This window comes from Homo sapiens, chromosome 1, assembly GCF_000001405.40.
Source record: "Homo sapiens chromosome 1, GRCh38.p14 Primary Assembly".
NCBI lineage: Eukaryota > Metazoa > Chordata > Mammalia > Primates > Hominidae > Homo > Homo sapiens.
The window spans coordinates 23,959,133-23,983,454 of NC_000001.11; the positions used below are offsets into that span (position 1 = coordinate 23,959,133).

Consider the following 24,322-nt stretch of genomic DNA (forward strand, 5'->3'; position numbering starts at 1 on the left):
GGAAACGGTAACACGGCGCGTAAAGGGCTCTAATTGAACTTAAGGACCAATGGGGCCACCAAGCAGGAAGTGACTGACTTGCCCGCGTGTGTCTGAACCGCCTTCACAGGGAGGCAACTTTTGAGTAATTGCGGGGCTGGAGGGTGGGGGCACTGGAGGGAACCGCGGGGAGGCGCCGGCTTCGGACGCGGAGTTGTGGGTGTGGGAGAGAGGCGACCCAGAAGCCGAGGCCCGAGGCGGGAGGGGGCTGCGCCCTGGCAAGAGGCTTTCCGGAGTATCTTCCATCTGTCAATACAGGCTACAGGACTCAGTGGCCCTAATTCGAGAACCAAACGTCCCCCGCCGGTCAGTCTTTTCCCCCAGGGCAGTCCCAAGGGCGGCGAGCCCGCGCGCACGAGAGCCGAGCGGTAGGAAGAGCCGAGAGCTAGCGGCCGGGGCCTCGGCGGGCCAGGGGCGCGGAGAGGCCGCCGGAGAAAGGACTAAGACACCGGTGGACCGAGCAGTTACTCCCGGCATGCTCCTCCTCCCCGGGCAGATTTCAAACCCTCTGCAGCCCCACCTCCGCGCCTTCGCCCCCGGCCAGCCCCAGCAACAGGCGGCGGCCCGCTTCTCATTGGCCAGGCCCGCGCTGTCGTGTTTTGATTGGCCGCGGAGCCTCCCGGCCCTGCTTCTGCAGTCGCTGCCGACTCCATTTTGTCGGTAGAGGCAGAAGGAGAAGGTCGGGTTGTAGAAGCTGGGGTGGCCGGCAGCTCGCTCATCGGTGTTCGTGGGCTTTGTCGGTCCGTGCCTCGTCTCTCCCTGGAAAGGGAGGGAGGCTTCGACGTCGAGAGGGAGCCGCTGCCGCGTTAGTTCCGAGCTTGAAGTCAGTAAGTAGCGGCTGCGCTAAGGGCGCGGCCATGTTGGTGGCCGCGCTCCCCATTGTTGGAGGAAGGAGGCGAGCGGAGGCGAGATCCGGGTAACCCGGGCGGGCGCGGGCGGTCACGGGCGGTCGCAGCGCCGCGACCCCTGCGGCTCCGGAGAGATGGGGCCACTGGGAAGCCAAGCCCTTGTGGCGTCGGAGGAGGCGTTTTCCGGGTTCGAGTTGGGAATTACTCACAGTCCGGAAATGGCAATTTATTTAGGGTTGTTTATCTGTTTGGAAAGCTCTCTTACCCCTTTGAAAGGAGGGGGCTTAACTATTTGGTAACTTATTTTCTTGGAACATCAAATTAAAACCAAACCTTGAAAGTTAAGCTGTTCCCTCTAGGGAGACATTTTTATATATTTAAGATGGGCTTAGACTGTTAGGGCTTGTGAGAACTTATTTTAAGACGGGGAGGAGGCGAGAGCGTTCATAACCAAAGGAAACACTGCGTGATGTCTACATGTTCCAAGAGACTGAAAATGGATGTGACATGTGTGGAAAGATTGGAAAATTCTGGTGGGAGTTTAAAAACACGGTCTCTTTAGAAAATCCGCCTGAAGCCAATTTTTTGATATGACTCAACATTTAACACTTCCTTGATTTTATACGCGAGAGAATCTGAAGGTCTTTCCCAGGAAAAAGATAAAGATAAAACTTATTGCGGGACTTGGAGACACTTACAAAAATTCCCCAGGAGTGACTGGATCTCAAGGGTGAAGAGTTTTTTTAAATGGTCGTGGTTATAAGGTCAAAGAAAGCCATCTTACGAGAAATTTTCTACCTTTTAGTTCAGGAAGTAGCCTTCTTTACAGTCAACGATTTTCGTAGTAAATCTAAATGATCACTTTCTCAACGTGTTTTTGAAATAATGAAGTAATCTTTACTTTTCTAGCTAGGACTTCTCTCAAACTTGTGTGCTGAGGAGACTCAGATGTTGGCCTCAGCTCCTAGGCTGAACTCAGCAGATCGGCCCATGAAAACTTCTGTATTGAGACAAAGGAAGGGATCTGTCAGAAAGCAACACTTGTTATCTTGGGCTTGGCAGCAAGGAAGAGGACAGGTAGTGGAGATCCTGCAATCTGAAAAGCAGACTGAAAGGTAATCATCATAATGGGCAAACATTTTATGATGGAACCATCCTAAACCAATTGTTTTTATTTTAAAATAGATTATGTAGATTTGTGGGTAAGCTCATTTTTCTTAGGGAAGGTATAACAATAAAGGTTGTGCATATATTGAAGTCTGAACGGCTTGCTTTTTTGAGTTTAAAGCAGCTGAATAGCCTGTTATTGAGTCTTGTCCAAAATATCTGGAGTTATAAGTTGGAGCCATAGAAGCTTCTTAAAGATTTTGAACTTTTCTTAATGGAATTTTACTCAATATTTGTTTCCATTCACTTGTAGGTGACAAAGAAGCTGAAGATGGGTGGTGGAGAGAGGTATAACATTCCAGCCCCTCAATCTAGAAATGTTAGTAAGAACCAACAACAGCTTAACAGACAGAAGACCAAGGAACAGAATTCCCAGATGAAGATTGTTCATAAGAAAAAAGAAAGAGGACATGGTTATAACTCATCAGCAGCTGCCTGGCAGGCCATGCAAAATGGGGGGAAGAACAAAAATTTTCCAAATAATCAAAGTTGGAATTCTAGCTTATCAGGTCCCAGGTTACTTTTTAAATCTCAAGCTAATCAGAACTATGCTGGTGCCAAATTTAGTGAGCCGCCATCACCAAGTGTTCTTCCCAAACCACCAAGCCACTGGGTCCCTGTTTCCTTTAATCCTTCAGATAAGGAAATAATGACATTTCAACTTAAAACCTTACTTAAAGTACAGGTATAAAATAAGACAAATGTTTAAATTTAGTTATGTTCACGGATAGTTGTCAATTGGTCTGAAACAAATTCGCTAGGGAATCTATTTGTGTAGAACTAATTAATGTAAAAAAAATAGACCATCTCGTGTTGTGTGCACTGTGATATAATGGTAGTATCAGTGCAACTTAAACTAATGATTGTACTTGATATTAAGTGTTCTCAACTGAGTAACTTTTAAGTGGAAACCAAGTTTAGATTTGGGGAGTGGTAAAGGAATCAGCTTTTTCTATTGTTAGGGGAAGACAGTAATTTATCATTCATGGACCAGTAGATTGTTGAAAGTTGGTGAATCGGATTATAAGCTTCTAGCTAACACAAGGATTCAGAATTAGGTAAACATCTGAAGGTTTAGTATATTAGAAACACCCAAACCAGTAATATGCTAACCTGATGCACTGCTGAAAGAAAATGTGAATTTTTCGTAATAATTGCATTTTAGTGAATTGTACAGTGGGTGGAAAGGGCATTTGGAGCTCATTAGAATGAGACATAGTACACCCCAATGGCCCTGTTTATTAAATGTAGTGGATTAAGTGTCTGTCAACAAATACACCAAAACCATTTTTTATAGAAACAGTATTTAATGGTCACTCAATAGCTTTCAAAATACATTTTTGTATTACAGCACTGCACAAGCTATTCTAATAGTGCTCTGGCCTCATCATTCCTGCAAAGCTTGCTTTGGGGAGTTGGATAATGTGAAAATTTTAAGTACCTAGGGGAGAAAGAGCCATGTAAATATCTGTAATAAACTTGTAGCATATGTAAAGTTTTCTTGGCCTTTATCTTACAAAAATGGAGTATTTTAGTATGAATTTGCTGAATGTAAGACCGTGGACTGTTTTTTATAATATGGCCTAATTTTAAAGGTCCAAAATAACTTGTTTTTAAAGTTTGCCCTTGTGCTAAAGTGCCAGTGTATGTATGTTATACTTGATTTGGTTGTAAACTATATTTCAAAGTAAACCCTAGTGTAATAAGTTTTATAACTAAAAAGGTTTAAGCTGCTAAAACTATTTTTAAGAGATGTGAAATGCAGTATGGGACTATCTTTTTTTCCTCCTCTAAGCCCAAAGATTAACTAGAGTCCCTCCAACCTTATAGATTGTTGGCTTTCACAATCTTATAACCTAGGATACAGGTAGTTTCGAGTATGGTGCCAGTGATGTTTTGTTTTTGTTTGGTCAAGGGGTAGGTGCAACCCAATGGACCACTTATGCAAAAGATGTAAACTCTTGCATAATACATTGATAACATGTTTTGCCAACTTTAAATGCTTAAACATAAGCGAAACCAGTAGCAAGTATGTGGGTCAGCTTAAAAATTTTGATTGTTAATGCCCTATTTTCTAATTTGGCACCTCTTGATGCCTAAGCAGGTAAGCAGATGCCTAAGCTGTATTTCTCCAAATAAATCAAGATGAAGTACTGCCCAAGTTAAATATTGATAGCCTAAAGACAAGTTTATGTAGTACTTAATGTACATGATATGAATGTGAAGCATAAAATTAAATAAAATTTTTCCCCATTGGCTTGGTTTTATTTTAAAAATGGTTTTGATTGCTTAATATTCTTTTTAAAAATGTGTTTTACTTGTCACTGACTTGAAGCTCATAATACACTCACAATATTCCAAACTCTTGGATTTCTCAGACTCCAGAACTATGAACCACTACATTTCTGATCATATATATATACGTATATATAAAAAAGGTCACAACTAAAATGTGATAGGACTGTTGGCTTGAAAAGGGGCAACTAGTTTGCTGACTGATACAGAAGATACTAGGATTTGACAGCTATGCAGTTAAGCAACTACTTAGGATTTCTCTCTCCCAGTAGTGTTAATTAAAAAGCAAAAAAAAGGCCACACATGGAAAACATCGCAAAGCTTTTGAAAGTTAATTCCATGATCTAGGTTCATAGAAAAAAAATTATAAGCAAATTTATCAAGTTGACAAGAACCCTTGTGTTTTAAGTATGTTGACAAATGAAAAGTATATAAGGGGACCCCTCAGAAGAAAAGCATCACAACCACACCTTTCTGATACAGATTCCAAATGATAGGGCATCTTAAAACTAGTTTGAGTAATCCTTAAAATGCTACAACTAGTCCCATGGCAAAGCTGTATTATTTTCATGCAAACTAGTTAACAATTTGGAGTTAAGGCAGAACCAGCATTTGGGTGTTCATTTTGTTTCCAGGGTAATTTCTGTGAACAATGCCAAGGATTGCAGAATTGAACTTCATGTATTGGACAAATCTCAGCCTAGGTGTCTGTTAGTTTTTAAGCTATATATTGAATCTAGTGTATATATTGAATACACTAGATTTTTAGTGACTAATCTAGTAATACACTAGATTTTTGGTTTGACTCAAGCAAAATGAGTAAATGGAAGTGGGAGTGGAAGATTACCTAACTTCATACTTTAGGAAAGGTACTGATAAAAGTTTTGGTTAGCCTATATAGAGAATGGTGATAGGAATTTCCCAAGTCGATGCAATTGCGAGAACCAAAAATAGCTGGTACAGAGAACTTACCATGTAAGGCTGCTGAAGTCAGCCATACTGTGAACCTTAGGTAAATGCTGTAATTTCAATTTGTCTTCTTTTCGATGGCAGTTATACTATGATGGAATCCAGGTCCAAAACCTATCCTTAAGCTTAAAATAAATACTAATAAACTATCCTCTTCCCTAGAACTACAACACAGGAAAAAACCTGAAAGGTTTTGTGTAAGTTTCAGTTTCTAGTATTTTGGTTGCATTCTTGTAGGCAATTTGTAAAGCAAGAGGGACAGAGTGCATCTCTAAAACCTCTTACACAAATTAGGAAAAAGTTGTACCCAGGTGGTTACAAATCTAAGAGCAAAATCTTAAAAAAACCCAAGATTTATTTTTGGCTCCTAGACCAGTTTATTTCACTTTCCAGCATTCAAAGAAATGTGATCTGCAAAAAACTAGATACAAAGGCCTTTTACTTCTTTACAAACTACGGTTAGTTCTCAATGAATTTACATGCCTCACTTTTTATTCCAAGAAAAATCCCCATTATGCAATACAAGGGTGAAACAGCTGTTACAAATACACAGAAACATAATAAAGATAACCAACACTGTTAAGAGGAAGGGGAAGAGGAAAAAACCCAAGAGAAGGAAACTTTTCCACAGTGACTAGCAGAATGTCTTGTAGATAGCAATAACCGAAGACAAACAGGTTGCTCACTTCATCCTATTTATCAAGTCATCCTATCTAAAATGAGAATAGTTCATGCCTAGGATAGGCTAACTATAGGCTTTGCTAGTCCTCCTTCCTAATAGAATGCCCTCAGATTATTCCTGAGCTATCACTCAAGTCACAGATACTTCAGAATATAATCTTAGGTTTTGTAAACAGGAACATGGTCAAAATGCAATACAATGGAAAATCTCTACAAGAGAATGAGATTTGGAAAGCCATGCTTAGAGTCTCTGAGCCACACAACCATAAGATCTTCGAGTACGTTTAATCTCTCATCCAGGAACATTATCCATTTACCTTGTAAGGTTGTGAGAAATGAATAGCATAATATGCAAGAAGCTATCACATGATGGGTATTCTACAAAGGACAATTTTCTCATCTGTAAAATGGGAATAATACCCATTTCCCAGGAGTGTTTTTAGGATTAAATAGAAATATTTGAAAAGCACATGGTTCGGCACAGTAAGTGCTCAATAATATTGACAGCATTCAGTATAGAGAGAAACAACCACAGAAGAGATCCTAAAGCAATTCATTCAACAGATGCAAAAATTAAAGGGCCTTTTCTGATTTACCATAATTAAATATTTTAGAGAACTACCAACTGTTGTTATTGTAGTTATATATGTATTTACCTAATTTTTTTTAAACAAAACCCCAACTCAATATGCACCTTAATTCTCCCCCTTAAATGTCTTAACTTCAAAAGGAAATGGAGAAGGGAGGTAGAGGGCAAAAAAGTCTATAGCCTCTACATATTCTTTTAAAAATACATAGAACCTCTGTCCATAAGAACCCCTATGTTAATGAGTGTATAACGGTATACAACAAAATACTTTTTGTAATTAAATCTAGTCACTTTGACTCTAAGTAAATTCTAGATCCCATTATATCAATGTTACTATCTCCATGAAAATAAAGCTATAAAAACACTTCCCCATTGGATTAAACAACAAACATGGTAACAAAAGATGAAACAAGTGAAAAATTATGGGCTGTAACCTAGGATCTGACACTTGCTGTGTGATCTTGGGCAAGTTCAAACAAAATTTCTAAAATAAAATACAAACAATAATACCTCCATTTCACACCTCCCTTGAAAATATACCTCTGCTATATTTTCAAAATTGCTACAAATTAAAAGCTTAAATTCCACTTCCAGATTTTTAGTTAATTTTATATGGAAAATTTTAAGTATGTGGCAAAAAAGATGACAAAAATCAAATGTGATGAAATCAATGTATAGGTAAAGAAACATCATATCCTAATAAGAAACTAAGGAATCCAAAACATTTTGTGATACTATAAAAGTTATTTATTCGCTATACACAGAACATGTCCCCTATAAAATGTACATGTAAATCACTAAAAAGTATAATTTGGTGAACATTTTCTCAATTACAGAACATACTAAATCAGTTAGGATAACAGCTCTCTGTCTGCCTCAAAATAATCTAATTATAGCACCCAGTCTCCTTTATACCTAATGCAAAGTTAAATACTTATTTTGGGGGTTATATCCTAGCATGTGTTTGGTGAGGCAGAGTAAACAATTTATTATAACTCTAGTATATTACAGTCACTGCACAATAAACCAGTTTATTACAGATTAAATCATTTTTTCATTATTTATAATAATGTGATCAAATACTGGATACTTTTAAATGGCAGATAACCACACAATTACTTATCCTTGATCGTATATTGTGTTCTATAATTACATTGATACGAATGGTGTAAAATATTGTTATGAATAACACACCTCAAACAAAACAATGAGGCCATACTGTAATGATTCACTAGATTGTGCTCAGTAGACATTTACTGAATAAGGGAATTATCTATTTTTCTCAATTATCCAGTACAATGATTTGCCCACAGTAAGGGCTCAATAAATATTTGCTGAATATACTGACTAGGAAAGAGGTGAGAAGAGATGGGCCCTCTTAGCTGGATGTCAAATATAATTGGAATTTACCTGGGAAGGAGTAGTTAAGACAGATGTAAACTGCATGTGGTGTACAAGTAAATAAACACAGATGCCAACAAAGCAAATGATTAAGCAGAAAACACTGGCACCAAAATAAACAAAGGCAAGATTTGCCAATAATGGCAAAAATGGAACTTTTATATTGGACCATACCTTTTCCCACCCAATTCAGTTTGAGACAGACCAACAGAGGCACTGTAAGAGACTATGGCTGTCTTCCTTGATATTCAGACATCCTAGTTTCCAATAATTTATTATGGACCTGTTACCCATGAATCAATATAAACCTATTCATATTTAGGGATTAGTTTCCACAAGTACAAAGTTGAATTTCCTTTTATTTGTCCTAAAATGCTTACTTTCAAACTTGAAGGGACTTCAATTATTCCATGTAGTTTTCGATAACATTCTTTTATCTTTTCAGACCAGAGTCAAAATATTCGTACAGTATTCATACTGCAGCACCTTCCACCCACCCTTTGGTCGCTTGAACTGCCCTTCTTTGGTTCTTTTTCCGCTTTCAGATCTTTCTTGAAGTGTAGTAAGCAGAACTGTACTGGGTATTCCAGCTGCAGTTTGGTCTTAAATAAAAGAAGGATGTTTGTCAGTTTGGTTTCCTTTATTCTTCTCTGTGGTATACAGGATTTTGTTAGTTGAACTGGATGTAGCAGCTTACTGGGCCAAATTTTCAAGAGAATAATACAATAGTTCCCAGGTCTTTCCCCTGGGATGTAACTTAACAGCTCATACTCTATGTAGCACCTTTCCTCTCTCACTGAAGCATTATCTCTCATTTTTCTTCTTGCTTACTTGGCTTCAAAAAAAAAAAAAAAATGCAGAGAGATCTTAAGTAAAAGGAGAGGTGAAGTGTGTCAGCCCTCATTTGAGTGTTGATATAACCATTCTATTTATCATTGAGCCCAGTCATACACAGTAGGTAAACTCAGTAAGTGGGGGACTCAACTACATCACCCAAAACTAACATAAAACACTACGTAAAGATCCTCATCAAGTATCAGTAGGATCCAAACTACCATGGGTTCAACTGTAATATAGTCCTTTTGAAGCTGTTAGGTGTGTCGCTTTAGGAACAACATATAAGATTCTCAATAGTCCAAGTCTAAAAATAAGTTGACACAAGTAAAAATAAAAATGAAATTAGGCCTTCTAGTTCTATACAGAAAATGAACAATTTCAATGAGCTATCTCCTCAATCTACTTCTCTCAAATTATAGTCTGTAAAACAAACAAAACCCCCCCAAAACTAAGGGACCAGGCCTGGGCTTAAATCCTGGCTCTGCCTTACAGTCTTTTCTTTGTGCCTCAGTTTCCTTATCTGTGATATGGGGAAAATAAAAGTATCTTTCTCATAAGGTTTTGTGAAGAGTGAGTTAACACATAGCCTTTTCAAGTGTCTGGCACATCATGAATACTTAATAAATTAGCTATAATTGTCATAAAGTAGATAGAATTCAAACCACAAAATACCTAACCTACTTCCCCAAAGAGGTTATCACTTAATATTAGTTGCTCATCAACATTCAATTTAAAATGATTTAAAATCATGTCATAAACGTTAAGCCCTAATGCGTCTTGTTTATAAGAGGGAGAGCAGAATTACTGATCCATCCAATAATGAAAATATAAACTTGGAATTAGCTGATCCAAATTTCATCTTAACACTACCAAATAACCTCTTAAGTTAGTTAACCCAAGAGGCTTAATGAGCAATCATGAAACAACTTTGATATTACACAATGAATTTTTAACTACTGTGTAAAAGATGTACCTTTCTGGCAAGTTCTATCATTTCCAAAGTAAAAGTTAGTTGTGCCTAGTGCAACAATGATTTAAAATATTCCTAAATCTATAAAGGACTGTTTCCATTGTTATTTTAGAATCATATTCAATACTGTAATAATTCCAGTTAATCATTATTTCCTTCATTTTGTTTTTATTATAGCATGTTTGCTTAATTTACAGCAAGCAGAAAATAAGCTGGGTCTTGTTTTGATCCAAACATTGATGTTTTAAAGGTTGTACACAATATTTGTTAAAAAGAACATATAAAAATACCTTTTTAGAAGCCTCTATAAGAAAGAAAATACAAAGTTTAACCCCACAACTTTCCTCTTTGCTAGAACTGTAAACTACTGCTACAGTTTTAAATAGACTTTTTGTTGTTTAAACTATACATCCAGGAAAATCTAAAAAAATTAAAGAAACGTGCATATAAACGATTGCATAGCAGAACATGAACATTAACTGCAAACAGTAAAGAAATGAAAGTTAGAAATACTATCAAATATACAAAGGTTCTAGAATCAATCCTTTAAACACATTCCACAAACAGTATTTAAAATCCATCGTTGTATTCTTTACAGGCAAAGCCTAGATTACTAAAACCGAAATTGAAAAAAGTAATCCTCTAAAAGGAATCGTTTGTCCATAATTCGTACTTGTATCTGTAAGCAAGCAATCTGAGATTTTTAAAGATGCTAGCTTTTTATTCTGAAATGAAATTGGACATGTCAAGTCACTTTTGTCCCCAAAACGATCTTTCAGAGAAATACTAGAAATTATAAATGGTTTAAGGGTATTACTTCATTTTTAGTCAGGTACTACACTGATAATCGAAAGCTCAAAAGATGTGACTCTTGCTTAAAACTGACTAATCCTTTTCCCCAAATTACCTTAAATTTCATGGCACCACAGAATCACCTAGAATGAGTGTTGTCTTACAACTTGCCTCGTATTAAATAAACTGAGGTGTGAAAAGCAGGCCTCCCTCATAAAGAGGCAGGCAAATTTTGATACAAATGCACGAGCCAAGTGCTGTAAGCATCAAAATTTCAGTTCTTTTACACTAGGCACACACACACAAAACCTACTTTGAAACAATTTACTTACTTAACAGCAGTAAGAAAACTAAGCAATATTATGGTCAACAACGCTCCTTAAACTTTAGAATAACTACATAAGAATATTCCTTTTTCCTTAAAATTATTTTTGCCATCAACGACCTGCTCAAATTTTAAGGTGAGTTTTTGTGTTTTCTATGTTCCAAATCTTCATAGGAACCAGAAAAAAAGCAGTGAAGGCTCCATGTTTCAGTCAAAAACTCAATTTCCCAGCTGGCATCATTCCCCAAGACAGTGGGGTTAACAAAAGAACTAATCCACACTGCATCAAAAATAATTATCATTGGCCTAGACATCCGGTTTTTTTTTTTTTTTGAGACGGAGTCTCACTCTGTTGCCCAGGCTGGAGTGCAGTGGCGTGATTTTGGCTCACTGCAACTTCTACCTCCCAGGTTCAAGCGATTCTCTTGCCTCAGCCTCCTGAGTAGCTGAGATTACAGGCATGTGCCACCATGCCCGGATAATTTTTGTATTTTTAGTAGAGACGGGGTTTCACCGTGTTGGTCAGGCTGGTCTCGAACTCCTGACCTCGTGATCCGCCCGCCTCGGCCTCCCAAAGTGCTGGGATTACAGGTGTGAGCCACCACGCCCAGCCGGGCCTAGACATCTTGACAAGACATAAAGGTCCACCCTGAACCTAAATGTGTCTGAGCAGTCAGTGTTGTACTGTGGCTACTACTTCACTTTTGTATCATTCTATCTTATTAGCAAGCTACATTTCTAGGTTAACAGTTCTACCAAATATGAATATGAAAGTTTATTTTTAATGAGACAATGTTGCAAATTATGGTCAACCAACATCTTTTCACCAAATACTTCAAGCATAAAAAATGAGAATCTTTACAAAAATATACAGAGACACCACAAATTGGTAGCTGCCCATAACATTAAACAAACTGGACTCTTAAGAGTGGCTTCTCAACAGCATATCATTTTAATTATAACCATTGCCTGGTACAGGGAAAACTAACAAGTGTTTTTTAAGCATCATTGCAACATTGTATTCCTGATAATTTAAGTAAACCAAACTATGAGTAAATGAATGATACATGCCTAAAAATGACCATGGTTTATACTATCAGTGGCCACTGGACTTAGGACTAGTCCAAGACCTTGATCTAGATTTTGACCTAGACCTAGACTGTGATCTTGACTGAGATTTGGATCTAGGTGGTTCTTTTTTCCTTGATTCCTTTTCATATCTTGAGCCAGACTTATAATGTGTTTTGGAATCTGTTTTAGAGGTGCCTCTAGTTTTGGTGTGAGATGCAGACCTAGAACGTGATTTAGCCTTCATTTCTTTCTTGGGCTGGGACTTGGACCGTGATCTTGAATTGGATTTAGATCTTGAAAAAGATCGATTTCGGTGTTTGAATCTTTCAAAACAGAGGAGAGATATAATTAGAGTAAAAATTAGATTCTATATTAATCAAATTTGTTATTTTTAGAGCAAAAGTTCACTCTGAAATTAAAAAATACATGAGTCTTTTTCAAAGCAAAGTTATTTACCTATCATTGTCGGAATGGCTTCTGCTACGCCGTGGTCTTCCAGTCGGTCTACTGCTAAAAAGCATATCAGAAAAAGCAGTGACAAATATCTATTCATAGAGGCAAAGTTTCTAATTAAAAGCAAACCATAAAACTTTTAAAATAAAATGCTACAGTATTTTTTGTCTCAATGAAACATTCAATGTATATAATTAAAAGTATACAAAATAGTAAAAAAAAATTAAATGCTAACAAATACATTTTTTAAACAGATCACTGTGCTACACAGCACACTTACTTTCTAGGACTATACGATCTTCTATAGTTGTAATCAAAAGACCGACTTCTTGATCTCCTCCTTTCATAACTTCGGCTTCTAGAACGTCTGTATCTGTCATAATCATCATAGCGTGAAGAACTGTACACATTCCTCCCTTCCTTGGCTTTCATCTGATTTGGTGCTAGGAAATACAAAGAACAGAAATATTTAAAAATATTAAAAACAGTATTAAAGCCCTCAATAAATAGGGAAAAAAATCCCTGCATCCCCTCTTATATCCCAAAGAGAGTATGTATGACCCGGGTGGTGGCTCACACCTGTGATCCCACTACTTTGGGAGGTTGAGGTGGGAGGATCACTTGAGCCCAGGAGTTTGAGACCAGCCTGGGGCAACATAGCAATATGCCATTTCTACAAAAAATAATTAGCTGGGCCTAGTGGCTTGCACATGTATTCCAGCTACCCAGGAGGCTAAGGGGGGAAATCACTTGAGCTCATGAGTTGGTGGCTGCAGTAAATTGTGATCACACCACCGCACGCCAGCCTGGGGGTCAGAGACCCTGTCTCCAAAAAAAAAAAGTGTGTATGTGTTTTGGTGTCTTTTTTTTTTAATTATTTTAATTTTTGAGACCAGGGTCTTGCTCTGTTACCCAGGCTGGAATGCAGTGGCGCAATCTCAACTCACTGCAACCTCCACCCCACACCAGTTGAAGCCATTCTCCTGCCTCAGCCTCCTGAGGAGCTGAGATTACAGGCACGCGCCACCACACCCGGCTAATTTTTGTATTTTAGTAGAGACAGGGTTTCACCATATTGGCCAGGCTGGTCTCGAATTCCTGACCTCAAATAATCCACCCGCCTCGGCCTCCCGAAGTGCTAGGATTACAGGTGTGAGCCACCGCACCCAGCCTGGAGTCTTTTTTTTTTGAGACGGAGTTTTGCTCTTGTTGCCCAGGCCGGAGTGCGATGGCGCAATCTCGGCTCACCACAACCTCCGTCTCCTGAGTTCATGCGATTCTCCTGCCTCAGCCTCCCAAGTAGCTGGGATTACAGCATGCGCCACCACACCAGGCTAGTTTCGTATTTTTAGTGCAGACAGGGTTTCTCCATGTTGGTCAGGCTGGACTTGAACTCCTGACCTCAGGTGATCTGCCCCTGCCCGCCTTGACCTCCCAAAGTGCTGGGATTACAGGCTTGAGCCACCGTGCCCAGCCCTGGAGTCTGTTTTAGAGGTGTCTGTAGTTTTGGTGTGAGATGCAGATGCAGAACGTGATTTAGCCAAGGCTGGGTTGAGGTAACTGCAAATTTTCATCTTGAAAAAGGCACGTATTTATTTTCAAGAAAGTGTATTAGAAGACTGTTTTATGTTAAAAATAATACTAATATCCCCAACTATTTTCAAAGTCTTCTCACCATCTAGTTTATCAGCCAAGACCTGGTAACTGTTCTGACACTGGGAATCCATACCATAAAAGGATTTTTAAAAACTCCAAATGGAAGTGAGTGCCTTTTTGTTTTGAGATTGGGTCTTGCTGCTACCCAGGCTGGAGTGCACTTGTGCAAACACAGCTCTCTGCAACTTCAACCTCCTGGGCCCAAGTGATCCTCCTGCCTAGCGGGGACCACAGGTGTGCACTATCAAGCCTGGCTAATTTTTTATTTTATTTTTTGTGGAGATGGGGTCTCACTTTGTTGCCCAGGCTGGTCTCAAACTCCTGGGCTCAGGCAATTCTCCCGCCTAGGCCTCCCAAAGTGGTGGGATTACAGGCGTGAGCTACCACACCCACATATTTTACATTTTCAAATGGCTGAAAAAAATGACCACTGAACCATATGCTGATTTGGAATGATCCCACCACAGATTCCATTCATTAAGAACACAATTAACAAAATATTTATAGGTGGCCTATGAACAATGTGCAGTGTCAACATGCAGTAATATTACAGTTCTAAGACCCTAAGTAGAATAATAAGGCATTCCTAAATGCCTTATGTACACTTCAATTCTTATCTCATTCAATTCAATGAAGCAGATACTTTATGTATTGGAGTACATATAAAAAACACAATGCATAACCAGGAATCTATTACCCAACTCAAGAACTAGAGTTCCAATAGTTTGCATTGAGTACTCAAGAGCTCCTCCTCTCCTCAGCAGCTATTTTTTTTTTTTTTTTTGAGGCACAGTCTTGCTCTGTTGCCCAGTCTGGAGTGCAGTGGCATGATCTCGGCTCACTGCAACCTCTGCCTGCCGGGTTCAAGCAATTCTCCTGCCTCAGCCTCCCCAGCAGCTGGGACTACAGGTGCAGGCCACCATGCCTGGCTAATTTTTTCTATTTTTAGTATAGACGGGGTTTTACCATGACCTTGTGATCCACCCACCTCGGCCTCCCAAAGTGCTGGGATTACAGGTGTGAGCCACTGCACCCTGCGGTTATTTTAATCTCTTAATTAGTATCTTGCCCAAGGTAACATAATGGCTAAGCCAGAATTCACACACAGGTCTTTTTGACTCTAAAACCTGTATTCCTGCCTTGTAAGTACGCAGCGAACATCTGGTAAGCCTGCATAACCAACTTTCAAAAGAGTCCACATATATTTCAGGCATTCTCATCTCCACCTCCTACTTACACTTACCCCAAAACTTACAATCTGGAACACATGATGAAATATTCAAGATACTCCATTTTCTTAAATATGATCATTTTGGGCCAGGCACAGTAGCTCACGCCTGTAATCCCAATCCCAGCACTTTGAGAGGCTGAGGCAGGTGGATCACCTGAGGTGGGGAGTTCGAGACCGGCCTGGCCAACATGGTGAAACTCCGTCTCTACTAAAAATACAAAAATCAGCCAGATGTGGTGGCATGCACCTGTAATCCCAGCTACTCGGAAGGTTGAGGCATAAGAATCATTTGAACCCGGGAGGTGGTGGTTGCAGTGAGCCAAGATCACACCACTGCACACATTCCAGCCTGGGCAACAGAGTGAGACTCCGTCTCAAAAAAAAAAAAGAAAGAAAGAAAGAAAAAAAAGATCCCTTTGGGTTTTGAACAGAAACACAAATTGCTTAAATTCTTAAAAAAAAATCTCAAAACACTAAAAAATAATGTTTCATACATATCAGGCATAAGGGTACTTACTCTTTCGATCCCCCTGGGCAAACTGTATTTCAATCTGCCGTCCACAAATCCACTTTCTGTCCAAATTATGTAAAGCGTCTTCAGCATCACGAACATCCTCAAATGTGCTAAATGTTAAGGGGCTTGGGAAGTTTTGCAAACTTTGATAATGAATGAAAGTTCAGTTGGTATGTCTGGAACAATTCACAATCTCCCAATATTATTCCAGAACATCAACCAGACCCCCACTTACTAGTTGGTGATTCAGTTGGATTCAGTCATTAACACTTCACACTATAAAAGCACTTGTGATTTCCTAAGGCACACATTTGAAAATGTATGAATACATATTGCAGTAAAGTTATTATTGAAATAAGATCTGTTATAGCTGAATCACCAAGTTGTCCTATCCAAAAATTTTCCTAAGTTTTAAGAATTAAGTTTACAAGACAAAAAAGAAAAAACAAATGTCAGTTATATGTTGTATGCTAAAATAAAAATTTCTTAAAACCAAAATACTATTTTTCATATTTGTTTCAAACGAAAAAAAGAAAATGCCAATAGTTCTTGTGTAAGCAAGCAGTATATGCCTTACCTTACAAGAGAGGAAAGCATTAACTTCAAATTTATTTTGCTGTTTTCTTTTTCATATATATCTAATACTACTATTTCATTTAACTGTCTTCCTTCCACTGCATGGGAAGACAAGCACGCTAGCCATTTGTGGGCATCAAGACCAGAGTCAAGCAGTACTCAAGACAATCACTATACCAAAAGCGTTATTACATCCATGCAGACTGTAAAAGCATGCTATCAAGAAACAGACCACTGGAAGGACTCCTAGACTGGAAAGCCCTAACCATGACCCTAAATATACAACTTCTTGCAAAGAAATGGGTTTGAGACTGGTTTCCAACTTGAGAATTTCAAGATATTATTTACCAGCCTTAAGCAGGAACTACTGGTACTTGTTTTTGATCTGAGAAGCTAAGCTGCTTGTCCTCCCTGGTCATGTCAGCAATAATACTACGAGAACTGCTGGCTTTATATAGCTATTCTGTCCAAACCTAGCTCCTTTCCTAAAACCATCATTTTAACAGAGGCCAAGTACACATTCAAGACAGTGTTTGATATAAATGGTTTGGAAAGAGAGCTAGGTTAGGTACAGGTATAGGTTTTCATTCTATCCCAAAAATCCCCATTCTAGTTTGCACATTTCTTTTTCCTAAATTTGAGAGACAACACAAGACTGCAGATTTAGAGAGGTGATTTAAAATATCCCTGAAGTGACACACTCCTTTTTTGAGACCGATACTGGTATTTTTTTATTATAGAGACTAAAAGGTCTGCCTTACTAGACTTCCCACTTTTTGTTCTGAAAGGAATTAAGGACTGCAGGTTTCCAGCTCTGTCTTCCCGAGGCCATTATGAACAGATTAAATGGAAGGACAAATTCTAAATAACTGGGCTTTCAACATGAAAAGGGAAAGGCTGATGGGGAGTTCAGAACCTTGAATACTGTAACTGAACATCCCTCAAGGTTAATGCAGCTGGGCTCTAAACTAATTAGAAGGAATACGTTCACTTAATGGGTACACTACTTTGTTACCCCAAGAGACAGAATATAATAAGTATAAAAAGGATTTATATTGAGAGCTGTAAAAATTATTAATGAGAACAGAGCATCCTCTCTGGGGCTACCCTCGAAAACAGAATCCTGGGCTGATGGCAAGTTTCTACTTTACTCGGTAAGCCAGGGATAGGAAGAAAAGGCTATTGCGAATGGAGTCAGACAGAAGAGACAGCAGCAGCAGAGGCAGCCGAGTATCACTCTGATGTCAGTCATGGAGAAATTTGTACTTTATGGTCTTTTCAAAAATGAAATTCATAAGCCTGTTACTTATTTCTTTTCAACTATTTTAAAACCATAGACTTACTGAATATGTATTTTAAAATTATCATTCTCCTTTAGATTGCTTTGAATTACTAGCCTTTTTTGCCTCAAATATCACACACTCTTGAATCAAACTACTACTGACCTTGATTCCTCGGCCACCCAACACTAGGTAAAATGAGGTCTATGTTGTAAGCCAGAACGCACTGCTACCTTTATTTACTAAGCCAGATATAGCTATTATTTTCTCTGTAATGGAGCTTTGCAACCAATTCTCACAACTGTCCTTGATCACTGGCCCTGCAGGAGTAGTTTTTGGCTTTTCCCTAAGTCTCACTAGGACTCCACTAACTTAAAAGTTTGAGGCTCACTGAATTTAAGCAGGAAGAACTTTTCCTAGTCTGAGGTCCACAACCCAAACCCTTGTTGCAGGGAGATGATCTCACTGAAAGGAACGGAAGTAAGGTCACCTGAAACTCTGGGTCAGGGACCAGTCTCCCATAGGTCCCAGTTAGGTACCTATACCAGGGAGAAGGCCTTCTGCAACTCATTCAGGGCCAACTGATCATTGTGCTAAAGCAGCGCAGGGCCAGCAGTCTTCACAGGGCTAAGTTAAAGAAGTTAAGGGTTTATATGTGTCCCCAGCAACCACTTTAAAATCTATATATAAACAAAATTTCTAGTGGTTCTGACCCTACAAGACCACCAGAGCTGTTTCTAAGTAGTCCCCAGTGCATGCACCTGTCTCTCCTTTAAGCAGGGCTCTGTGGCTTAACCCCAGAACCCCACGCTACTCCAAAGAGCACTGCCTGCTACTCCGTGGCATCTGACCACCTGGTCCAAAACCAAAATATGCTGAATTTAATCTTAAGAATATACATCCTGTTACACTTTAACTTCATAAGAGAGAGTGCATTTACACAAGACCACAATCACAACATCAAAGGCCCACATAAATCAAGTTACAGGTTTTGTCACTAGACCAAACCAGAATAATTTTGAAAATTAACTGCTTACAAAACATTAAAAAAAAAAAAAAGAAAAATAGTTATTCTGTAGGATACATCAGGTATGACTCCTTTAATCTTGGCCATCATTCAACTTCATCTTGACCTTTAACTCTTTAAGTGCTTGTCAGAAGGACTTGTCATGAGATGCTTGGCCAAATATGACAGATGGCTTTATCTTTAACTTTGAAAAACAACCTTTTCCCCCTTTTGTAGATAAAGCGAGGCTTTGTCTCCCATTAGGCTTGTCCTTCTTCCAGCTTTTCTTTATTTTTTCTTTTCCCAAACTCTCCCTTCTCTTCAAGCCTGATCCTTAAGAGGTCTTTGGCTTGTCTACTTGCCTTAAGTGTTGAACTCTACTCTAAAGGTTCTTTCATGCTTTCTCTTTGGGGTCGCCATAACTGTACAGCTTTACATTCTCTGAGGTAACAACAGAGGACAGCAAATTAGGGGACAATATTAAAGAAGTTTACCTCATTGTTATACAATTTGTTTTTGATCAAGTGATTCAAATTAACAAACAAGAATACCAAATTTTAATTGCTAAGCACAAGAACATATTAACTTTTAAAGGACTTACATTAAAGGTAGTAGCAACCAGAGTGCATTCAAATTTAAATCACATATATAATCATCGATATGAGTTTCAGAAGCATGAATGGGAATTTATATATTTTACCATTTTTGGATTAACTTTAATAACGAGAGCAATGTGTGAGTCAGAATTAATTTTCAAAAATTTGAAGACAGACATTTATTAGAGGACAAAAAGAACTACTTTTTAGATGTTACCACTTACATAAACTTGAATTTCAAACTTCAACACCCCTCACTAATCAGCCATCTGAAGAAAGGATATTGAACATAAGCAAATCCTCTTGGACGGCGAGTGTAGAAATCAAGTGGAACATACACATCAACTATAGGACCATAACGACCAAATTCACGCCGCAAGTCTTCAGACCTAAAACATCATAAAAAGACCTCAAATTTTTATGTCCAAGTCCTTAAGATGTATAGGCAATATATCTTTTTGATGAAGGAAAGCTAGGATCCAAGAATTTGGAAGATAAAAATGCAGTTTACATTAACAGGACAACAGCAGACATATGTATGGTACAAGGGAATGACCACAACTTATTTTTATCTACAGCCGTCATTTTTCATAAAAGGTACAGCAGCATTAGGTTGTATATAAGCCTTGTTTTTTTTTTTTTTTTTACTTTTACAGCATCAAATCGACTCTAGCACTCTGAAAAATACCAAGCACTTATTTTTACTCCCCAATTTTAGCGACAGATTTACACACTTAACAGTAGATAAATATGGTCTGAAAAAGTCACAAATATCGAACTTCTTAAATAGTTAAGTGTCAAGATGACGTAAAGAGAAAATTTCTCTAGATGCTAACGTAACTATTAGAAATTATGGAAAGAATTATTTATGGAAAGAATTATTGCTTTCTTTCCTTCTTAAATTTAAGACAAAAGCAAATCACAAAGCTAGCAAAAAACCCCCACGAAACACCAAAAACCCAAACCACTTATTTTCTGTGTGTAGATTCATTATTTGTGAAATAAAAAGCCTCATCTTGTAGTAAGAACTCTTCCAAAATAATCTGAAGGCAACTCGAAACAAGGGAATGGTGAGAACAAAGCCTATTTAAGGTACGTCTGAATTAATCTAACTTAGCTGTCAACGTCCTAATGACTGACGCTTCCCAAACCTCCCTTTTCAAAGGGTGACCAGAATTTCCAGGAAATAAGAAAAACTACTCGCAACATTTAACTGGAAAAATCTAACTCCCCAAATCTCAACGCTCCCTTTCTCCAAACACCTCCAACTGATTAAAACCCCCAAATATTAACAACGGCAACAACAACAAAGATAAATGGTAGCAACATTCCTCTCCCTCGATCCCGTTATTTCATCTCACTATTTTTTGGCTGGGGAAAAAAAAAAATCTCTGGGCCAAGGGGGCGTGAACCTCGAAGAATGTGAACTTCAAATCAATGGGGGGCGGCCGTCGGGTCGCGGAAAGGCCGCGGCGGGGGGCTGCTCGCGCCGGCAGGAAGCAGGGAGAAAGGGGCTGCAAACTGCGGAGGGGGAGGGGGACCGAAAAACCCCGCCACGCGGCCCGGCGAAGGCAGAGGCGCCGCCCTCGCTCCCACGCGGCGGCTGAGGCCCGCTGCGCGGCCTAGTTCGGCGCCAAAGCGGGCGCGGGACCCGCCATCTTCACTCCGTCCCCTCCCCCGGCCCAGTGCCGCCACCACCAGGGTCCTCTCCAGGCGCCTGCGGCCTCCCCGCCTAGGCCCGGAGTACCTGCCTTGTACCTACCTGGTGTCGTCGGCCACGTTCCTGACGAACAGAGACGTGTTGGGGGGACGCAGGTAGCGGGACATGGCGGCGGCGTGTCTCGGCCGGGCGCACTAACGGGCTCAGCAAACCGTCCGCGGCTCAGGCGGCCGAGCCTCAGACACACACAGCTAGAGGGCTCTGCTACGGCAACCGACTCTTCTCGCGAGACTTCACTCCCGCCTCCACTTCCCCCTCCTACCTCCGCGCAAAGTCGGGCGCAACGGTTCTTTCCCGCGAGAACACCAGGCGTCCGCCTGCGCATGCGGAGGGCTGGCGCACGCGCCTCAGCGTCGGTGTCATTCGTTGGCTTCTTGCGGTGCCTCTTACCCTCCCCCAAGCCTGTTCTTTCTTTCTTTAGGTCTTCATTTCCCGCCGTTTTCTACCTTACACTCCACTTCATCTCCACCCCCAAATCAGGAAGCAGATGTTTTAGTCTCTAGGCCAAACTTTGCGGTTACTACTAAATGGACAGATTTTTAAACTATTTAGTTCAGAGAGGCTGCCTTAAATTTCCCGGTTGGTCCAAGTTAATGTCCTGCTTTTATTTTGCCTTAAATTTCCCGTTTGGTCCAGGTTATGCCCTGACCTGCGAAAGAAGGATTTACAGCTTGTATTGAGTGTGTAAAGGAAGGAGGTGTGTGCCCTTGCGCAGAGCTGGGCCTGTCTCTCCAGTGTTTTCAGCCTGCCTTTGCCCCTCACCCACACCCTAGCCATCTCCACTTAGTCACGCATTTGGCTCCCAACCTGGGTGGGACCAAACCTCACACTGTAGGTTCATGACTGTGGTCATTTGTAGTGTATTCTTTGTTGCTGACGGCTTCCTGGGTATGCATCGGACCTGTATTGCAGCAGTTCTCAAACTTTTTGGTCTCAGAACGCCTTTATATTCTTGTGTATTACGGAAGATTCCAAAGAGCTTTTTTTAAAAAAAGTGTGGGTTATACCTATTAATAAATAGTTAATGAGAACTTAAAATAGAGGAAACTTCGGCTGGGCTCGGTGGCTCACGCCTGTAATCCCTCCCTGTACTTTGGGAGGCCGAGGCGGGCAGATCACGAGGTCAAGAGTTTGAGACCAGCCTGACCAACACAGTGAAACCCCATCTCTACTAAAAATACAAAAATTAGCCAGGCGTAGTGGCGCGCGCCTGTAATCCCAGCTACTTGGGAGGCTGGGGCAGAAGAATCGCTTGAACTCGGGAGGCAGAGGTTGCAGTGAGCCGAGATTGCACCACTGCATTCCAGCCTGGGCGACAGGGTGAGACTCCGTCTCAAAAAAGAAAAAAAAAAAAAATAGAGAAAACTTTGACACACTCCACTACCCTTTATCACACATCATGTACCCTCTGGAAAACTCCACGTTTGTAAGAGAATGAGCATGAAAATAGCAAATAATCTTTAGTATGGTTTTGATTTTGGAGGCCCTTTTGAGAGCCATTTCCTGCTCGATAAGAGTCAACTTCTGGAGATGAGAGACTTCAGTTGGAATGCCTCCAGCGTGTGGCACAGTGCCAAGCAGGTAGCAGGGACTCAAGTACTGTTAAATTAAATGAACTTTTATTTAATAAAAAGTCATAAAGGCATTATTTTTGTGTCAATCAGCATCTAAGACAATTAAGTGATTCGATACAGGTGATGATAGTTTGTAGCACTCTGTAGCAGAGCTATTCTAAATTTTTGTTTCCCAAGATTTGCATGCTTAATTTATTAAAATGTTGGGCCAGGCAAGGTGGCCCCAAAATCCCAGCATTTTGGGAGGGTGATGTGAAAAACAAAACAAAACAAAAAAAAGTTTGATTCCCTGTTATGTGTCAGACATTGTGCTAGAAGCTTGAAATTCAGTAATGAAAAACATACAGCTTATATTTCTAGGGCGATGGCAATGAGAAAATAAAGTAAATGCAGGTTTGTTATATGAAAGAAACAGTAATGTGATAGGTTTTTTCTTGTTTTTGATTTTTACTTATTTTTATTTTATTTTATTTTTTGAGATGTAGTCTTGCTCTGTTGACCAGGCGTGAATGCAGTGGCTGGATCTTGGCTTACTGCAGCCTCCGCCTCCTGGGTTCAAGCGATTCACCTACGTCAGCCTCCCGAGTAGCTGGGACTACAGGCTCCTGCCACCATGCCTGGCTAATTTTTCTGTTTTCAGTAGAGATGGGTTTTCACCATGTTGGCCAGGCTGGTCTCAAACTCCTGACCTAATTGATCCGCCTGCCTTGGCCTTCCAAAGTGCTGAAATTACAGGTGTGAGCCACTGTGCCCCCGGCCTTGTTTTTAATTTTTAAAACAGGTTTGCCTAGGAAGGCCTTGCTGAGCAAGTGTCTCCCCTGCCCCTCTCAGTTAAATACTTTCAGTGGCAAGAAAACAGAGTCCTGCAAATTACCTTAAGTAATGGAGGAAATTTACACTGTCTGGTGCTACTCCAGCCACTCATGTTTAATAGGGTGAAGATTTAGAATGGAGTCTGATGCATAGAAAGTGCCCTAAAATGTTAACAGGATCACAGGGGCCCAGTACAACATGAAAATGCAAGGCCCTTCATTCAATATTTATTAAGAAATTCAAAACGACAATCGCAGAGTACTAAGCCAAGTGCAGGGTCCTTCTGAGCATGGGGCCCATTCCAGTGCACAAGTAGCACGCTCAAGAAGCTGGCCCTGAATGCCAGCAATTATTATTATTCATAATGCCTTGAGAAATAATACAGGCAACTGAGGGACATATATTTACTCACCAGAATTGCTTTCCGCCTCACACTCAAAGTGTCCCTTTTTTTTTTTTTTTTTTTGAGATGGAGTCTCGCTCTGTCGCCCAGGCTTGAATGTAGTGGTGCAGTCTCAGCTCGCTGCAACCTCTTCCTCCCGGGTTCCAGTGATTCTCCTGCCTCAGCCTCCCCAGTAGCTGGAATTACAGGCATGTGCCACCACGCCCGGCTAATTTTTGTATTTTTAGTAGAGGTGGGGTTTCACCATGTTGGCCAAGCTAGTCTCGAACTCCTGACCTTAAATAATTCACCCACCTCGGCCTTCCAAAGTGCTGGGATTACAGGCGTGAGCCATTGTGCCCAGCCCACAAAGTGCCCTTTGATGTTTTCTGCTGTAGGATCCCAGAACCTAGAAAAAGATGATGCTGGGAAAAGTAGAGAGAGAGAGTGAACTCCTTTCTGCCAGAGATAGGGCTTGAGCTGGGTAATTTACCAAACTACAAATCTGCTGGGGGTTGGGGGACAGGGACAAGGGAA

At 40.1% G+C, this 24,322-nt stretch overlaps 2 protein-coding genes across 12 annotated transcripts, besides 8 other annotated features; one reads left to right on the top strand and one right to left on the bottom strand.

The window, feature by feature from the left end:
* On the top strand, positions 32 to 4,330 carry PNRC2 (proline rich nuclear receptor coactivator 2). 2 transcript variants are annotated; one of them, XM_017001691.1, is made up of 3 exons: positions 32 to 124; positions 1,797 to 2,002; positions 2,308 to 4,330. In XM_017001691.1, exon 3 carries the CDS (start codon positions 2,326 to 2,328, stop codon positions 2,743 to 2,745), a length of 420 nt encoding a protein of 139 aa, XP_016857180.1. In that variant the 5' UTR covers positions 32 to 124; positions 1,797 to 2,002; positions 2,308 to 2,325; the 3' UTR covers positions 2,746 to 4,330. The 2 variants fall into 2 exon arrangements, with proteins under 2 accessions (XP_016857180.1, NP_060231.1); NM_017761.4 differs by lacking the exon at positions 32 to 124 and adding an exon at positions 696 to 866.
* Positions 383 to 492: a silencer, noted in NCBI's record as "silent region_430". NCBI's record gives its function as "represses an Ori minimal core promoter by ATAC-STARR-seq in GM12878 lymphoblastoid cells {active_cell/tissue: GM12878}" and the evidence as "EXISTENCE:reporter gene assay evidence [ECO:0000049][PMID:35858748]".
* Positions 693 to 962: an enhancer, noted in NCBI's record as "active region_386". NCBI's record gives its function as "activates an Ori minimal core promoter by ATAC-STARR-seq in GM12878 lymphoblastoid cells {active_cell/tissue: GM12878}" and the evidence as "EXISTENCE:reporter gene assay evidence [ECO:0000049][PMID:35858748]".
* An 884-nt stretch (positions 4,331 to 5,214) lies between the features above and the next one.
* On the bottom strand, positions 5,215 to 21,195 carry SRSF10 (serine and arginine rich splicing factor 10). Of its 10 annotated transcripts, none has more exons than NR_034035.3 (7): positions 21,059 to 21,195; positions 19,521 to 19,685; positions 18,779 to 19,141; positions 15,842 to 15,919; positions 12,718 to 12,880; positions 12,441 to 12,494; positions 5,215 to 8,591 (listed from the first exon to the last, which is right to left on the bottom strand). NR_034035.3 is itself a non-coding variant. In NM_001300937.2 (7 exons), the coding sequence occupies exons 1-7, from the start codon at positions 21,121 to 21,123 to the stop codon at positions 8,531 to 8,533; spliced, it is 654 nt and encodes a 217-aa protein (NP_001287866.1). In that variant the 5' UTR covers positions 21,124 to 21,195; the 3' UTR covers positions 5,215 to 8,530. The 10 variants fall into 10 exon arrangements, 9 of the variants coding, with proteins under 9 accessions (NP_001287866.1, NP_001177936.1, NP_001287865.1 ...); NM_001300937.2 differs by lacking the exon at positions 18,779 to 19,141 and adding an exon at positions 12,206 to 12,307 and having other exon boundaries at positions 15,842 to 15,945; positions 19,581 to 19,685; NM_001191007.3 differs by lacking the exon at positions 18,779 to 19,141 and having other exon boundaries at positions 12,441 to 12,491; positions 15,842 to 15,945; positions 19,581 to 19,685.
* Positions 20,422 to 21,412: an enhancer, noted in NCBI's record as "NANOG-H3K27ac-H3K4me1 hESC enhancer chr1:24306044-24307034 (GRCh37/hg19 assembly coordinates)". NCBI's record gives its function as "activates a minimal SCP1, AML or CMV promoter by ChIP-STARR-seq in primed H9 embryonic stem cells {active_cell/tissue: H9 hESC(primed)}" and the evidence as "EXISTENCE:reporter gene assay evidence [ECO:0000049][PMID:30033119]".
* Positions 20,422 to 21,459: a biological region, named in NCBI's record as "NANOG-H3K27ac-H3K4me1 hESC enhancer GRCh37_chr1:24306044-24307034".
* Positions 20,650 to 20,699: an enhancer, noted in NCBI's record as "active region_387". NCBI's record gives its function as "activates an Ori minimal core promoter by ATAC-STARR-seq in GM12878 lymphoblastoid cells {active_cell/tissue: GM12878}" and the evidence as "EXISTENCE:reporter gene assay evidence [ECO:0000049][PMID:35858748]".
* Positions 21,130 to 21,459: an enhancer, noted in NCBI's record as "active region_388". NCBI's record gives its function as "activates an Ori minimal core promoter by ATAC-STARR-seq in GM12878 lymphoblastoid cells {active_cell/tissue: GM12878}" and the evidence as "EXISTENCE:reporter gene assay evidence [ECO:0000049][PMID:35858748]".
* Positions 21,413 to 22,403: an enhancer, noted in NCBI's record as "NANOG-H3K27ac-H3K4me1 hESC enhancer chr1:24307035-24308025 (GRCh37/hg19 assembly coordinates)". NCBI's record gives its function as "activates a minimal SCP1, AML or CMV promoter by ChIP-STARR-seq in primed H9 embryonic stem cells {active_cell/tissue: H9 hESC(primed)}" and the evidence as "EXISTENCE:reporter gene assay evidence [ECO:0000049][PMID:30033119]".
* Positions 21,470 to 21,519: an enhancer, noted in NCBI's record as "active region_389". NCBI's record gives its function as "activates an Ori minimal core promoter by ATAC-STARR-seq in GM12878 lymphoblastoid cells {active_cell/tissue: GM12878}" and the evidence as "EXISTENCE:reporter gene assay evidence [ECO:0000049][PMID:35858748]".

Bases quoted from the DNA above. Each gene is read 5' to 3' on its own strand.
- SRSF10 (NM_054016.4), bottom strand. From the start codon at position 21,123: ATGTCCCGCTACCTGCGTCCCCCCAACACGTCTCTGTTCGTCAGGAAC. The intron at 15,946-19,580 runs ATATCCTTTCTT...AACATTTAGCAC, and splicing joins AGAGGATTTGCTTATGTTCA to ATTTGAGGATGTTCGTGATG. The intron at 12,495-12,717 runs GTAAGTGTGCTG...TATGCTTTTTAG, and splicing joins AGATCGTATAGTCCTAGAAA to CAGTAGACCGACTGGAAGAC.
- PNRC2 (XM_017001691.1), top strand. From the start codon at position 2,326: ATGGGTGGTGGAGAGAGGTATAACATTCCAGCCCCTCAATCTAGAAAT.